The sequence below is a fragment of the Homo sapiens genome, chromosome 2 (assembly GCF_000001405.40).
Source record: "Homo sapiens chromosome 2, GRCh38.p14 Primary Assembly".
Classification (NCBI taxonomy): domain Eukaryota; kingdom Metazoa; phylum Chordata; class Mammalia; order Primates; family Hominidae; genus Homo; species Homo sapiens.
In genome coordinates, this window is record NC_000002.12 from 230,134,613 (window position 1) to 230,151,547 (window position 16,935).

The 16,935-nt window shown below is 42.0% G+C and overlaps 1 long non-coding RNA gene across 1 annotated transcript in view, besides 1 other annotated feature; it reads left to right on the plus strand.

Annotated features, from left to right (window-relative positions):
* LOC107985995 (uncharacterized) overlaps positions 1-7,563 on the plus strand; it is a 75,437-nt gene extending 67,874 nt beyond the window's left edge. The window contains exon 6 of the long non-coding RNA XR_001739918.2: positions 5,456-7,563. This is a non-coding gene — a long non-coding RNA (uncharacterized LOC107985995). The remainder of the gene's footprint in view (positions 1-5,455) is intronic.
* Positions 6,064-6,592: an enhancer, noted in NCBI's record as "H3K27ac hESC enhancer chr2:231005392-231005920 (GRCh37/hg19 assembly coordinates)". NCBI's record gives its function as "activates a minimal SCP1, AML or CMV promoter by ChIP-STARR-seq in primed H9 embryonic stem cells {active_cell/tissue: H9 hESC(primed)}" and the evidence as "EXISTENCE:reporter gene assay evidence [ECO:0000049][PMID:30033119]".
* Positions 7,564-16,935: the final 9,372 nt, after the last annotated feature.

A 16,935-nucleotide genomic window follows, 5' to 3' on the forward strand; every position in this document is an offset into this window, starting at 1 on the left:
AGGGTTGGTTTCCTGGGCTGGGTGCTGCAGGTTGTGAGTCAGAGTTCTATTTTTATATGTGGTCTGGTCATATTTGTTTGTATATTCAGTTTCTCTTGGAGGACAGCATGTTGTCCACAGGGCTCTTACAAGGAGATCTCTCAGGCTTCATTGTTCGTGTATAAATCTGGGCCAGTCCTTAACACCCATCTGCTTCCTGCAGGACTTTTGCAGAGAATGGCAGTGGCTGCCTTTTATTTTGTCAGGGTACTTGTGGATATAATGTAATTTTTTGCTGAAGTCTCTTGGCTCCAGGTCTTATTTCAAAGCTGAAACCAAAGTAACATTTTGGGCCAGAAGGAAGCAGGTGTTTCCCATTTTAGAATTTCAGAAGAAGAAGGCTCTAAGAATGTGGCTAAGTGGAGTAAACATGTATAGATGGGAGCTAATTACATAAGTTTGGTTGCCACAAGCTCTTGATCTATGCAAATATGCTTCTGAGAGGAAATGTGAATTTGGAGACTGGGAGATTCTTTCTGCATGTATGATACTGAATAAATTACTAATCTTCCTGAGGTCTTATACATAAATTAAAGGCAATAAAACCAGGCCTCAACGATTTTGCAGATATCCAACCCTCCTGGAGATACCACGTGTACAAAAAGTATTCTGAGCCACTTTCTGTGGTAGTATTGTCCTCACTGTGCAAATTTCTCCTTTGCTGGGCTGCCTGCTCTGCAGACAGAGCTCGTTTCAAATGCCACTATGCACAGGTGGGCATCTCATGCTGGCTCTTAACCTGTGGCATGTGCTGCTACTAATTTTAATTGTGCAAGTCTCTTTACTGCTTACAAAATGGATTTTCACCCTTGGAATAGTATCAAGGTCCTCCAGATCTGGTCCTGGCCTTAGTCCGTCCCTAGTGCTCTAAACAAGTCCTTACTCTCACAAAACCCAGATATATACTCATTGTCTCCTGAACATACCAAGTTTGGTTTCACTTGGGCTCTCACAGTTTTCCTTTGCCTGGAATCTGCGTGGCTCCTTTTCCCTCCCCAACTCACGCCTGACCCTGCTTTGCTCTGGTTTTTATCCACGAAAGGCCTGATTCAAGCCTCACCTCCTCCAGGATGTCTTCTCTGACTGTATCAGACCATGGTGATCTGATTCCTTTTATTTCTGAACAACTCTCCCATAGCACACTTGACTTTCTTATTCTTTTGGTAAGTGGGTAAAACTATACATGATGTTTTTGGTTATCTATATCATATTCTGCATCTTCCACTGGACAGTAAGCTTCAGTATGTCAGCAACTTTTTTTTTTTTTCCACACAGGATCTCACTCTGTTGCCCAGGCTGGGGTGCAGTGGTGCAATCATGGCTCACTGCAGCCTCAACTTCCCTAGGCTCACGTGATCCTCCTGCCTCAGCCTTCTCAGTAGCTGGGACTACACGTGTGCACCACTATAGCTGGCTAATTTTTCTATTTTTCGTAGAGACAGAGCTTTGCAATGTTTCTCAGGCTGGTCTCAAACTCCTGGGCTCAAGTGATCTGCCTGCTTTGGCCTCCCAAAGTGCTGGGATTACAGGTGTGAGCCACTGTGCCCGGGCTCAGTGACTGTTTTACTACCTTATAACCTCACTGCTTAGGATTATGCATTGTATGTTTCAATGCTCAATGAAGGTTCGTTGAGTGCAATGATGAAACAATGTGCCATGTGGATTAATGTGTTAAGCATATTAGAACACTAAAGGAACCAGTCCCTGCTGGTCCCAGCAATAAATAGTTGCCTGAAACCATTTCAGATCCAGAGGGAGGGGGTTTTCGGGACTTAGCCTTTATTATAGTTGCATCTGCAGTAATTCAAGGGGAAAAAAGAATAGCTTTAAAATTTTTATTGTAACAGAAACACAATGACAGCCACTGCATGCCCTATGGAGGGTTTTGGGTCTTGGAACACAGCTAGGCAAAGCCCAACCCATGGCCCTGAGGGTTCTGACAAATGGAATGGGGCAGGTGTGGGGGGCAGGTGGTGAGCCCCCATGCAGGTACAGGGAGTCTTTTTGAGCAGAAATGAAAAATCCAGCAGGGATGCTTCAAAAGATGACTGGGATTCTGGGCAGAATGGGGGTGAGGAGCAAGACCAAATAATGGGGACTATCACCCATCAGCTGGGCCAACCCTGGCAACAGTGAGCCCAGGATTGTGTGTTAAGAGGCCTAAGCAGACAGGGAGACCAGCACTATTGTGGACTCTGCTGGCAGCCACCTCCATGTATCTCGGGGTCGGCTGGGTTTCAGGTCCGGGGAGGGGACATTGCAGGACAAGGCAGGCTCTGTCCTAGAGAGCCAGGGCTTCTATTCAGATCAGCAAGAAAAGGCTCAGGCATGGAGAAATATCATGAGGGTGTTTTGGGGTTGGGGCAGGGGTGATCTTGTTCTCAGGAATAAAGTAAAAGCGCAGATGCTCTGGGCCCAAGTTCAGAGTTGGCTTTGAGGATGTGAGTGAGGATGACTGTAGAAATAGAACAGATGTGGAGCCTGGTGATGCTGCACAGCTCCAAGGACCACAGAAGCAAAGCGACTTCAATATCCAAAGTCACAGTCCTTGTTAGCAGCAAATCTAGGCTTCAAGCCACATTCATGTGATCCGCCTAGTCCAGGGGCGGAGCATTGGTTCTAACTTACCAGGATTTTCATACAGTCTTCATTAGGGCTCTCAGTTTCTATGGTGGTGCCAAGACGGTTTCAGGGTGTGCTCTGACAGTGAGCGATTCAGGAAAAAGGACTTGATGGGAGCAGATATGCATTTTCCTGCTTAATATTAAGAGGTTTTTGTGTTAGATCTTGATCAAAAAGTCTGACCTTAAAAGACACCTGCAGTTCAAAGATGATGACTTTCACAATGACAATGACCATTACAATTCAGTTCCTCTCTGAAGAGCTGGAGAGAAGAGAAAATAAATGCCTGGAGTTCAAAAACAAGACAATGGCACCAAAAATCCATCAGAAAAAAGAAAGTTTTCCTCAAAAAGAGGACAACACAATACCCAGGGGGGAAAATTATGCCTTCAGTGAGGGATTTCATAAAGAGTTATGACATTTCAGATTCTCAGGAAGTTAAAATAGTTGTATCTCCATTGTGATATGCCCTTTAGGAAATCAATATAATTTATTGTGCCTCTTCAGGGCCCATTTTTTATACTTTGAAGTCTACAGGACAGAGTGAAGGAATAGAAACTCATTTAAGATAGTTCAAATAATAGAGGGGTGTATCATATTTTCAGAATCCGAGGACAGAAATTGCAGGGCATCTCAGTGGAACTGGAAATTCAGGAGCAAAGGTTGTTTTGTCTTCTTGCAAGGGCCTTTGTGGACACTCAGAGGCCTCATAGTCTCACTTCTCTCTGCTTCTCTCCTACCTCCCTCTGTGTCTTCTGCTCACAACATGACTGGCAGGCTAATTGCATGACATTACTCTGAGACTACATTCTTTGTGTACCTTGTGTTGGGTTTTTGAGAGACATATTCTGACTCAGTGCAGTCTAGTGAATGACTTGCAGTGAGTCAGATGCCAATCAACTTTGCTGGGGGAGAAGGTGATGCTGTAGTTGAGGATGAAGGAGCAAGGCAGCAAAGGCTTACAGGGTACATCACTTTGGATGGGGTACAGGTGGGGAGGGGCAGGCAACAGTCAGTATCTGCATCATAGACTATCATGGCAACAACAATGATGCTATAATTTGGGTGTTCTCCCAGGCTGCCACACAGTGGCATTGCTGTGCACACTTGAGAAAACTTTATGAAGTTACCATGCACAGCTTGTCATTTTGGTGGTCCCATTCCCTCAGCAACCCTGAGATCCCAGTATCTTCCTAGATACTAGAAAAGGATGCATAAGCGGTAAAACCTTGACCTGAATTTGAGCAATTTTCTAAGTACAAAGAGTATATCTTTCAAACCTTTGCATGTGTGTGGATAATTTGTGTATATGTCCCTCCTCTGAAATATTAATATAAATAACACCCAGAATCTGATATTCATAGGTTTGGGGAAAGTGTGTGGGGTATTTTTCTTTGCTTTAAATCTGGTGGGTTTTGGCATTTTTGCATTTTCCCAGTGTTTTAATCCTCTGATCTATGGGCTCTGGAATAAAGAGCTGCAAAGCAGATTACACCATTGGATGTGTTGTCAGCTATGGTGTGGTCACACTGTCAACAGCAGAGGGCTAGTTTAGAAAAAAAACTCAGCCATTTGAATCAATAACTCTAGTCCTAATGGTCTCATCAGCTAAGGCTGAGGACCTGTCTTTCACTCAACCTAAAATTGGTGCCTTCATTTGATTTTGAAAGAAATATGAGTAAGTCAAAGTTATTTGTTTGGCTTACAAACTTGACTACTGTGTACACTGAATTGGCTTCAGTGAAATCCTTTTAATGTCTTTAACTTTAAACCCAGGCCAGTGTTTTTAGCAGTGTGCTCTACCGTGTATGAGCAGTTAGGCAGGTCTTGGGAATATACTTGTTTTTAGAAACTGAGAAATAGTCCATGGTTAATGTGAAGGGAAGAAGTTTGGCTTTTCCCATTATACTAATTAAGGGTGGATTCAGCTGCATATAATAAAAATACAGCAACAAAATAACAGTGGCTTCCAAAAGTTAGAGATAGATTTTTTTTTCTTTTTCTTTAAGACAGGGTCTGGCTCTGTCACCTAGACCTGAGTGCGGTGGTGCAATCACAGCTCACTGCAGCCTTGACCTCCCAGCCTCAAGTGATCCTCCAGACTCAGCCCCCCAAGTAGCTGGGCTTACAGGCACATGCCACCATACCTGGCTAATTAAAAATAAATTTTTTTTTGTAGGAACAGGGTCTCACTATGTTGTCCAGGCTGGTCTTAAACTCTTGGGCTAAAGTGATCCTCCCACTTCAGCCTCCTAAAATGTTGGGATTACAGATGTGAGCCACAGTGCCCAGCCGTTTTTTTTTTCTTATGTAAAACAAACCTGGAGGTACATAATCCAGGCCTGTGTGGCCACTCCACAGTCAACAAGCTCATTCTCTTCTGTTGTGCCATGATTACTGTGCCACCTCATGACTCAAGATGGCTGTTAGTGTGCCTATCATCACAGGCACACTCCAACAGAAAGCAGGAAGGAGCAAAGAAGGGTCGGCACCTTTCTTCTGTAGACACTTCCTAGAAGTTACACAAAATACTTACTTTTTCTTATGTCAAATTGGTCAACATTTAGTCACATGGGTATGCCTAGTAATATGGTTTGGCTCTGTGTCCCCACCCAAATCTCATGTTGAATCATAATTCCCAATGTTTGGGGAGGGACCTGGTGGGAGGTGATTGGATCGTGGTGGTGGATTTCCCCCTTGCTGTTTTTGTGATAGTGAATGACTTCTATTGAGATCTGGTTGTTTGAAGGTGTATGGCACTCCCCCCTTCACATTCTCTCTCTCCTGCCACCAGGTAAAGAAGATTCTTGCTTCCTCTTTACGCGTCCGCCATGATTGTAAGTTTCCTGAGGCTTCCCCAGCCATGCTGAACTGTGAGTCAATTAAACCTCTTTACTAATTACCCAATATCAGGCAGTTCTTTATAGCAGTGTGAGAATGGACTAATACAGAAAGTTGGTGCCAGGAAAGTAGGGCATTGCTATAAAGATACCGGAAAATGTGGAAGCAACTTTAGAACTAGGTAACAGGCAGAGATTGGAACAGTTTGGAGGGCTCAGAAGACAGGAAGATGAGGGAAAGTTTGGAACTTCCTAGAGACTTGTTGAGTGGTTGTGACCAAAATGCTGATAGTGATATGGGCAGTGAAATCCAGGCTGAGTGGTCTCAGATGGAGATGAAGAACTTATTGGGAACTGGAGTAAAGGTCATTCTTGCTGTCCTTTAGCAAGGAGACTCGTGGCATTGTGCCCCTGCTCTAAAGATCTGTGGAACTTTGTACTTGAGAGAGATGATTTAGGGCATCTGGCGCAAGAAATTTCTAAGCAGCAAAGTGTTTAAGATGTGACCTGGCTATTTCTAAAAGTGTACCCTCATATTTGTGAAGAAGGACATGGTCTGAAATTGGAACTTATATTTAAAAGGGAAGCAGAGCATAAAAGTTTGGAAAATTTGCAGCCCGACCATGTGGTAGGAAAAAAAAAAACTCTTTTTCTGTGGAGGAATTCAAGGCTGCAGAAATTTGCATAAGTAAAGAAATGTTAATAGCCAAGACAATGGGAAAAATGCCTCCAGGACATTTCTGAGACCTTTGTGGCAGCCCCTTGCATTGCAGTCCTGGAGGCCTATGAGGGAAAAATGGTTTCGTGGGCCAGGCTCAGGGCCATGCTACTCTGTGCAGCCTCGGGACATGATGCCCTGTATCCCAGCTGCTTCAGCTCCAGCCATGACTAAAGGGGGCCAAAGTACAGCTTGGGCCATGGCTTCAGAGGGTGCAATCCCTAGGTCTTGGTGGCTTCCACGTCGTGTTGGGCCTGCAGGTGTGCCAAAGTCAAGAGGTGAGGTTTGGGAACCTCTGCCTAGGTTTCAGATGATGTATGGAAATGCCTGGATGTCCAGACATAAGTCTGCTGCAGGGGCAGAGCCCTCACAGAGAACCTCTACTAGGGCAGTGCAGAGGGGAAATGTGGGGTTGGAACCCCCACACAGAGTCCTCACTGGGGCACTGCCTAGTGGAGCTGTGAAAAGAGGGCCACCATCCTTCAGACCTCAGAATGGCAGATCCACCGACACCTTGTACTGTGCACCTACAAGTTGAGTGCCACAGGCACTCAATGCCACCCTATGAAAGCAGCTAAGGGGCTGCAGAGCCACAGGGCTAGAAGTTCCTAAGGCCTTGGGAGCCCACCCCTTGCATCATTGTGTCCTGGATGTGAGACATTAAGTTAAAGGAGATTATTTTGGAGCTTTAAGATTTAAAGACTGCCCTGCTGGGTTTTGGACTTGCATGGGACCTGTAGCCCCTTTGTTTTGCCCAACTTCTCCCTTTTGGAATAGAAGCATTTACCCAATGCCTGTACCGCCATTGTATCTTGGAAGTAACTAACTTGTTTTTGATTTTACAGGCTCATATGTGAAAGGGACTTGCCTTATCTCAGATAAAACTTTGGAATTGGACTTTGAGTTAATGCTGGAATTAGTTAAGACTTTGGAGGACTGTTAGGAAGGCATGATGGTGTTTTGAAATGTAAGGAGGACATGAGATCTGGGAGGAGCCAGGGGTAGAATTATATGGTTTGGCTCTGTGTCCCCACCCAAATCTCATATGTTGCATTGCAGTCCCCAATGTTGGGGGAAGAACCTGGTGGGAGGTGATTGGATCATTGGAGGCAGATTTCCCCCTTGCTGTTCTCATGATAGTGAGTGGATTCTCATGAGATCTGGTTGTTTGAAGGTGTGTGGCACTTCCCCCTTTGCTCTCTCTGTCTTCTGCCAGCATGTGCAGAAGGTGCTTGCTTCCCCTTCGCCCTTCCACCATGAGTGTAAGTTTCCTGAGGCCTCCCAGCCATGCTTCATGTACAGCCTGTGGAACTGGGAATCAATTAAACCTCTTTTCTTCATAAATTACCCAGTCTCAAGTAGTTCTTTATAGCAGTGTAAGAACAGACAATACATCTAGCTTACATGGAGAAAAGAAATAAATTTTAGCTGGTTAGCTGTGTCCTCAGCCAAAAATTGGGATTCTTAATACTAAGGAAGGAAGAATGAGTATCAGGAGGCAAAATTATTTCAAGGATCAGTTTGGTTTCAACCAAGTAAAGTATAAAGAAAGACAGTGGATGGGTTATGGTCACCACAAACATATACTCTGTTTTTCAGCATGACATACAAATACAGAGTTAACTGTTCAGGATGCCAGAGAACTTTAGTTGTGTTATATTCACAGTTTTCAAAGAGAATGGCATCAATAAGAACACTGACCTGGTTTAAACATGGAAATCCACTAATAACTTTAAGCAAGTTTGAGGCAGCAGCATGAAATATATTCTTTCACAGAAGTTTATGTGTGGCATTTCTTTAGAGAAAGCATCCATTTCTGAATCAGTCAGGATTCAGTTCTAGCAATAAGAATCATCACCCTAGGTATTTTAAGCAGAAAGGACCTAATACAGGAATCAGATGCTGACAAAGTCCCTAGAAAGCTGAAGGAGTGAAATTGGGACCCCAAACCCCATGCCTGATTGATGTCAAGAGTAAACCACTGCAACCAGCATGATCTGGAGGTTAAGCAGCTGCCACCACCACAGCTCCTCCTGCCCCTTGACACTCATGCCTTTGTGAATTTGCTTGCCAGAAGAAATAGTGAGAGGGAGACGGCCTCCACTCCCTTCCATCTTCCAAATCTTACATCATTGCTTCTAACTGGTAGAACCTAAGTGGCATCCAGAACTCTAAAAGTAAAGAAGTCTTGGAAATGTAGTTCTGAGTTTCATAGATTTGGCAATGCTGGAAGTTACCACAAAAGGAGGGTAAAATGAAGATTGAATGAGCCAATCCATAGGATCTGCCTTTACTGCATTTAATTTTACCTACAGGCAACAACAGCAGCAAAAACAACAGATAGCATTTATTGAGCAACAACGGCAACCCTAACATGATGCGAGCTATTTTATAAACAATATGTCACATCCTCACAACAATTTTATATATAGGTATGATTATTTCTGATTTTAAAATGAGAAAAAGCTGAGGCTTACAATGGCCTTACATAAACCTAGGAGGTCGGGGCCTTCCCTTTAACATTTGTCTTGTACACTACTTGGCCCAAGGTGATCATTTCCTCACTGTTGAGAGTTGGGCCAATTGCGTGGGAGATTCAGGCCTCGATTCTCCACTGTGCTTTGGGTGTGGACACCTGGATCATGGAAGAAAGCCTTTTTCACCCATTGTTTTGATTACATTCTCCTGTCCTCAGGCCTTCCTTGTTTTCAGGCTCTAGTGGTTTCTACTACATTTTGACTTCAAGTTTTCTTGCTTCTCTCTAGGTGTTATAAGTCTTGCCCCTCTCCAACCCCAACTTTGAGAAAACAAAGCATCACTTTTTCTTTTCCATTGCTCAAGTATCTTTCCAGGGAAGGCATCAGGTCTTAGTACCTTTGTCCCCCAGGGGACCCAACACGGGGCCTGGTGGACTGTAGGCCCTCAGATTAAGAAACGGATTCATCAACCAATAAAACATACCTTTCTACAAACCCCTTCCCCATAAAAGCCAAGCTCTCTCTTTATTTTGGTTAACATTTTTTTTTTCCTGAGTCTGCTTGCTAGGGAACTGTTGAAATATTAAGCCATCTAAGAGCAAAGGATATCTTTGTTCCCCAGAAAGTAAAAGAAAAAGTAAAAAAATTTACCAAGCTTAACTTATATATAAGTCCTAGATCTAATATAAGTCATTTAATTTATCCTTAAAACGTAGAAAACTATTAAAACTCTATTTTCTGATCTCAAAGGTGACTTCTGCTTGTAACATTAAGTGCTAAGTGGTAGTTTCATACTTTCAAATACAAATTATCAATTTTAAAATTAAAAAAATTTTGAATTGGGAATCTAAGTGGTGTAAAAGTCAAAGGGTTCAAAATGATATTTAGTAAAAAAAAAAAAAAAAAAAAATCTTTTCCTCTCCATTTTCCCAGGTCTCCCACTCTTCTCTAAGAGTCAACCAATGTTAACAGTTCTTCTGTGTTTTCCTTAAGAGATGATCTACAAAAGGCAAAGTATTGAGAATTTATCATTTGTAAGATAATTTTGGTTTTGATATCATAGATTTAGATTGGAAAGTTGTTTAAACTGGTATTTAGAGTTATAATTTATGTCACAAATGAGAGTTCATGATATCAGCAATAATTAACTTCATGATGTGAAAATCCTGTGCACCCCTGGGAACCTTAAACTCTGGGCAAGATACAAAAGGGAAGGGAAGAGAGGAAGTGGTAGGTAAAGTTACTTGCAATTGTTGAGAGTTCTTGTAAAATGTTCGTTGCTCATATTGAATGGTGCAATGATAGTGAGTTTAAAGTCAGATAGTGTGGGAGGTTTGGGCAAATGTTCAGAGAAGATATAGCTTTCATAAAGCTCTAAGAATAAATTGCTTTAAGGATAAAATGTGAATTATCTCAAAATTTCTAAGTTCTTATGAATATTTTATTTACTATAACTGCAAACACATTATTTCTGCATGAAACTAATTCTGGCTTCTACGTAGATATGCTATATAAACACATATTGACTACTTTAAGAATAAACTTGGGCAAAATCTTAAAAGCAAGAATAGAAAAGTAGTAGTTCATAATACTCATCATAAGAAAATGTTGAATGAATTCAGGCCATTGTTTAGAAGAAGTTCAAGACTGTAAAATCAGCCATGCTTATGGATTTTAAGCTTTTTTTTTCTCCTCTGAGAAGGTCAAAGTCTGTTTCTGGAACTACCTGCCTGATGGCCATACAAACACATATATATGCAGTGGAGAGAAAACTGCACATTGGTGGAGGTGGGGAGAGGATGTCAGAGTGTTCTTGTGAGCCAAGAGGACTTACAAGTAGGGTCTGGCTTTGGGTTATTGGAAACGACCTGTCCAAAGGGCTTCATGCCAAAGGAAAGGGGCCTCAGCCGAAAGAGGCTGGAGGTTACTATTGGTAGCAGAGGATGAAAATAGAGTGAGAAGCACCTGGCTAAAGACAAGGATTTCCCAAGAGTCCAAAGGGGATAACTTAGACCTAGGATCCCACAGTGTGGTATAGAAAAGAAAGAATCACCGCTGGGAATCTGCCCTACGCAGAAGATGCAAATGTCATATTACATCTGCCTTTGTTAAGGATGGCCTTTCCTGCCCGTTTCATGTTCTTCCAAGCTCTGTTCCAACACTGAAGGAGTCACAGGTGGGTAGGGGAAGCAGACAAGAAACCTTAATTCCACCTGCAACCTTAATTCCTTCTTGTAATGCAGCACAACATAGCCATATAACACAGCCATAAGCTTTGTGGGAGTGGGGGGATGTTATTCTGCCTATTATATTTACTAAAATGAGATTGTTCTTTGGAGCTGATAATGACCAAAGGACTTTTATTATTTAGAATAACTAGGCAAAATGCAATTCAAAACCATAATGAGTTATCTCCTCACATCCATTATGACAGCCACCATTAAAACAAAACACAGAAAATAACAAGTGCTGCTGAGTATATGGAGAAATTGGAACACTTGTGGATTGCCGGTGCAGTTGTAAAATAGTATGACCACTATAGAAAACAGTATGAAGGTTCCTCAAAAAATCAAAAATAAAATTACCATATGATCCAGCAGTCCCACTTCTAGGTATATATCCAGAAAGAACTGAAAGCAGAGCTTGAAGAGATATTTGTATGTCCATACTCATTGTAGCATCATTCGCAATAGTCAAGAGGTGGAAGCAACCCAAATGTCCATCATGCCTCATGGATGAATGGATAAATGCAGTGAGATATATATATATATATATATATATATATCTCCTATATATACACCAAATTATGACATAATTTCCTTCCTTTTTAAGGTTAAACAGTGTTCCATTGTATATATATATATATATATATATATATATATATATATATATATATATATGTAATTTCCCAATGGCTTAAAGAAGGAACAAATTATTGGTAAATGTCTTGATCTTATTACATATTATAAGATATAGTATAAACAAACTATAAGTTGTGTGTGTGTGTATATATATATACACAATGGAATATTTATATATACACAATGGAATGTTGATATATATACACAATAGAATATTGATATATATATCTTATATATAATATATGTAACATGTAATTGATATATATCTTATATATGTAATTATATATGTATGTAATATGTGTAATCTTATATATGATATATATCAATATTATAATATATGTAATATAGTATGTAATAAGATATGATATGTAATATTGTAGTATGTAATATCTATATACACACAATGGAATATTGTTTAACCTTAAAAAATCTGGAATATTGTTTAACCTTAAAAAGGAAGGAAATTATGTCATAAGCTACAAGATGGATGAGCTTTGAGGACGATAATGCTAAGTGACATAAGCCAGTCACTAAAAGATGAATACTGTATGATTCCATTTATCAGAGGTGTTTAAAGTAGTCAAATTCATAGAAGTTGAATATAAAATGGCAACTGCCAGGGCTGGAGAGAGCAGGGAGAATGAATAGTTCTTTAATGGGCACAGAGCTTCAGTTCTCAAGATGGAAAAGTTCTGGAGATTTGTTTCATAGCCATGTAAACGCACTTAACGCTACTGAGCTATACACCTAAAAATGGTTAAGATGGTACATTTTATGCTGCGTTTTTTTTCCACAGTCTTTTGAAAAAGTGACTAGACAAAACTATGGGATCTCATCTAAGATTTCATCCTAGGGAGGTAAAGGTTGGATTTGAAAATAGGGTTTGAATGGGCCCCAGGAAAAAGAATCAAGCTGTTTCTTGCTTGCATACTAGTATGTCTTGCTATTTCAATATAAAGGTTACCAGTTAACTACTAACAAGATCACTATTCATCATTAAGAATCTGTTAATGGCTAATTTGAAAGGAAATTTTATTTCTAGTTGTGATATATAGGTATACATGTTACCTAAAGCTAAGTATAGTATAGATGCTATGTGTATATGCATATGTATGTGTATAGAGAAATTTATATTCCTGTCCATATATACAATTATAGGACCATTCTGGGCCAATTGAATCTAGACTATTTCCATGAGTTAAGGTCAGATGAACCTTAGTTGTAATTATTATACTTACAGTTTATGTAGCACTAACAATTTTTTAAAAATCAGAAACATCAGTCAATCATTTGCTTTGCTTTGGATATAAGGACTTTTTCTGCCCATGTTCTCACGTTATCTCCATATCTACCACCACAGATCTCCTAGTTAAAGGCAAATAACCACAACACAGGCAAAAATAAGAGAGCATGTGACTGAGAGACAGTGATATATTATTTCCATGGATCCCCAGGTGCTCATTCTTTTTACATTTTAATGTAAAATGTAAAATCTAGATGTGTTTTTCAAAAAGACTAAAAAGTGCTGTCCAGCTTCTGTGCCATGGCCTGTGCGTCTATGACCTCAGACATTATTCCAGGGAGCATCTTAGGGCAAGAGCAATCCCCTGATGTTTCAGTCAGCAGCCATTTACAAACCATTAGAGGAAGGAATGTGAGTCCAGGTTTTTGTTTGAAAATTCCTCATTGACACCTTGTTGTAATAAGATCAAGACATTTACCAATAATTAGTCCCTTCTTTAAGCCAATGGGAAACTCGAACTTCTCCTATCTTTTTGAGATTAGGTGAAGCCATGTGTACTTTTTTCATTGTCTATTCCTGTGTAATAAATCACCCTCCAAACCTAGAGGCCTATTATCTCACTGTTTCTGTGGATCGAGAATTCAGACAGGACACAGACATATGGGAGGTGCCTCATCTGGAAGACTGGAAGGCTGAGGGGCTGGGATCACCTGGAGGCTTGATGGAGGCTGGAGGATCCACTCTGAGGGACCCACTCACACACCCAGTGGGTTGGTACTGGCCAACTGGTTCCTCTCCACATAGGCTTCTCTTCATCTGGTGCTCTCAAAGGGCTGCTCGAGTGTCCTTGTGACATGATGGCTGGCCTTCACCAGAATGCACCATCTGAAAGTGGGCCCACACCAGTTGAAGGTATTCTTTTTGCATTTGGCCTCTCGGGTCACATATTTCAATGTCTGCCATAGTCGTAGCGAGGCAGTAGGTCTGGCCCACATGCAAGGGAAGGGGAATTAGTCTCCACCTTTTGAAGATGGGTAGATACATTTTTAAACTACTGGTCCGTGTGACTGGTTTTGCAAATAGGAAGTGACACCTGTCACTTTTGAAGGAAAGCCTGTAAGAGGTGGTGTGTGATTTTCCACATTCTGGTCCCCTGTCAATATTGAGGGTGCACGTGTTCACATGGAGGACTAAAGCTGAACTGTTACACGGGGTGGCTGCCCTAGAAAGTAGCCCTGACCCACCAGGGATCTCGTATGAGTGAGAAATAAACCTTTGTTTTAAGCCACTGAGATTTGGGGATAGTTACTGCAGCATAACTAACTCTATCCTGATGAATATTCTCCTGCAACCAAATGTGAGAAACAGCTGTCAGTGGCCCAAAGAGAATCCTGGAGACTGCAGTATATCTTTTTAAAAGATACACTTGGCTGGGCGCGGTGGCTCACACCTGTAATCCCAGCACTTTGGGAGGCCGAGGCAGGTGGATCACGTGAGGTCAGGAGTTCGAGACCAGCCGGGCCAACATGGCGAAACCCCATCTCTACTAAAAGTACAAAAATTAGCTGGGCGTGGTGACACGCACCTGTAATCCCAGCTACTCAGGAGGCTGAGGCAGGAGAATCGCTTGAACCCAGGAGGCAGAGGTTGCAGTGAGCCGAGATTGTGCTACTGTACTCCAGCCTGGGCAACAAGAACGAGACTCCGTCTCAAAATAAATAAATAAATAATAAATAAATAAATAAAAGATACACTGCATTACCAATTCTCCCAGTGGCATACAGTCGGGGCTGGCAAACCACGGTCCACAGGTTAAATCCAGCCTACCATTTGTTTTGTATAGCCTGCGAGTAAGAATGTTTTTTTTTTTTTTTTTTTTTTTTTTTTGAGACGGAGTTTCGCTCTGTCGCCCATGCTGGAGTGCAGTGGCGCGATCTCGACTCACTGCAAGCTCCGCCTCCCGGGTTCACGCCATTCTCCTGCCTCAGCCTCCCGTGTAGCTGGGACTACAGGCGCGCGCCACCATGCCCGGCTAATTTTTGTATTTTTAATAGAGACGGGGTTTCACCGTGTTAGCCAGGATGGTCTCGATCTCCTGACCTCGTGATCCGCCCGTCTCGGCCACCCAAAGTGCTGGGATTACAGGCGTGAGCCACCGCGCCCGGCCGTAAGAATGTTTTATACATTTTTAAATAGCTGAAAATAGTCAAAAGAAGAATAATAGTTCATGACGTGAAAATTATATAAAATTCAAATTTCTGTGTCCATAAAGATTGTTTTTGGAACACACCCACGCCCATTCATTTCAGTATTGTGTATGGCCGGCTTTGCCTCACAGCGGCAGAGTTGAGTGGCTGTCACAGAGAGCACAGGGCCCGGCAGAGTCTGAAACTTGCAGAAAAAGTTTGCCAACTCTTGACTGTAGAAGACAAGAAAGTCTGATAAAATATGAAATTTGATGACTTTGAGTTGAAATGTGATTCAGAAAAGTTGGACGAAACAAATTTAAGGAACACCCTAACCAACTCATTTTCTTTGCATCTCTATTTTAATGTGACCAAAGGTGATATAGGATGAACATCTGTCCGAATAAGCTTCAATAAATATACAGTACAACTCCTAAGAAATGAAAAAGCATGGTGGCATAGTTTACTTTGCAACTTATTTTCCTGCCTTATACGATCTATGGTGTCCTGGATGCAATGATATATGGTAGCATAGAAGATAAAAAGTGAAAAAACAGTCCTCTGGAAAAGCCTTTGAAAGCTCATTGTGATTATCAGCCTTTCTGAGTCAGTAGCTCTTTTTCTTTTGAAACAGAGTCTTACTCTATTGCCCAGCCTGGAGGGCAGAGATAAGATCACAGCTACTGTAACTTCGAAGTCCTGAGCTCAAGGGATCCTCCTGCTTCAGCTTCCAGATTAGCTGGGACTACAGTTGCATGTCACCATGCCCAGCTAAGTTTTTCCTTTAGAGACGGGGTTGGGGGGAGGGGGAGTGGTCTCATTATTTTGCCCAGGCTGATCTTGAACTCCTGGCCTCAAGTGATCCTCCCACCTTGGCTTCCCAAAGTGCTGGGATTACAGGTGAGCCAACGCATCTGGCCAGTAGGTCTTTGTTTCATTTATTCTACCCCTAGCAGTTGGCAAAATAAACAAGGTGGTGAGCTCCGATTTTGTGCACCTGGTCTGATAGCTAATTAGCGCATCAGCATCCTGAAGTCCTCAGTCTAGGGTGTTCCTGGATTTTATTCAGCTGTTTAGAGCACCTGGATGGGGGCTGGGCGCCTGTAATCCCAGCATTTTGGGACCTGAGGTGGGTGGATCACTTGAGGTCAGGGGTTTGAGACCAGCCTGGCCAACATGGCAAAACCCCGTCTACTAAAAATACAAAAATTAGCCAGGCGTGGTGGCGGGCACTACTCGGGAGGCTGAGGCAGGAGAATCGCTTGAACCTGAAAGGTGGAGGTTGCAGTGAGCTGAAATGGCACCACCACACTCCAGCCTGGGCGACAGAATGAGACTCCATCTGAAATAAATAAATAAAATAAAAATTAAAAATAGAGAACCTGGATGGGATCTGCAGCAGCACTGCCCAGCAGGTGCTTTTCCTGCTCTTTCTGAGAAGGGCTCCTCTCCACCAAGAAAAGTGACTGCAGCCAAAATAGGTCTGGGCTGAGCATGAATTTATTTTCTGTGGTCTCTGCTGTCAGTACTTCCAAGGATGATAGCCAGAGTGTCCTCGCTTCAGAGAATCCAACCATGGCTTTCCAGTACAATAGACAGAAACAAATGCCCTGAGTCAATATAGGCTGTGCTGTCCCTTTAAAAACAATTCTCATTTACTTTGGCAATAAAATATTAATCGCAGATGACAGAAAGAAAAGTAGGCAATTAATTCTAAATCATTACACTGGCTTAAAGTGGGGAAGAGCTCAAGCTCATAATGATACACTGATCTCTCCTGGGAACTTCTTCTTTCAAGGGGCCCTCCTCTAAAAGATAATTGCAGGAAAAGACTAGAAAACACATGTGTTACTTCGAAAAGTGTGAATAATAATAATGATCAATTTAGGGGATCATGTGGGCCAGGTGGGACCAAATAGGGGGTTTTATTTTTAGTGGAAGTGGGGATC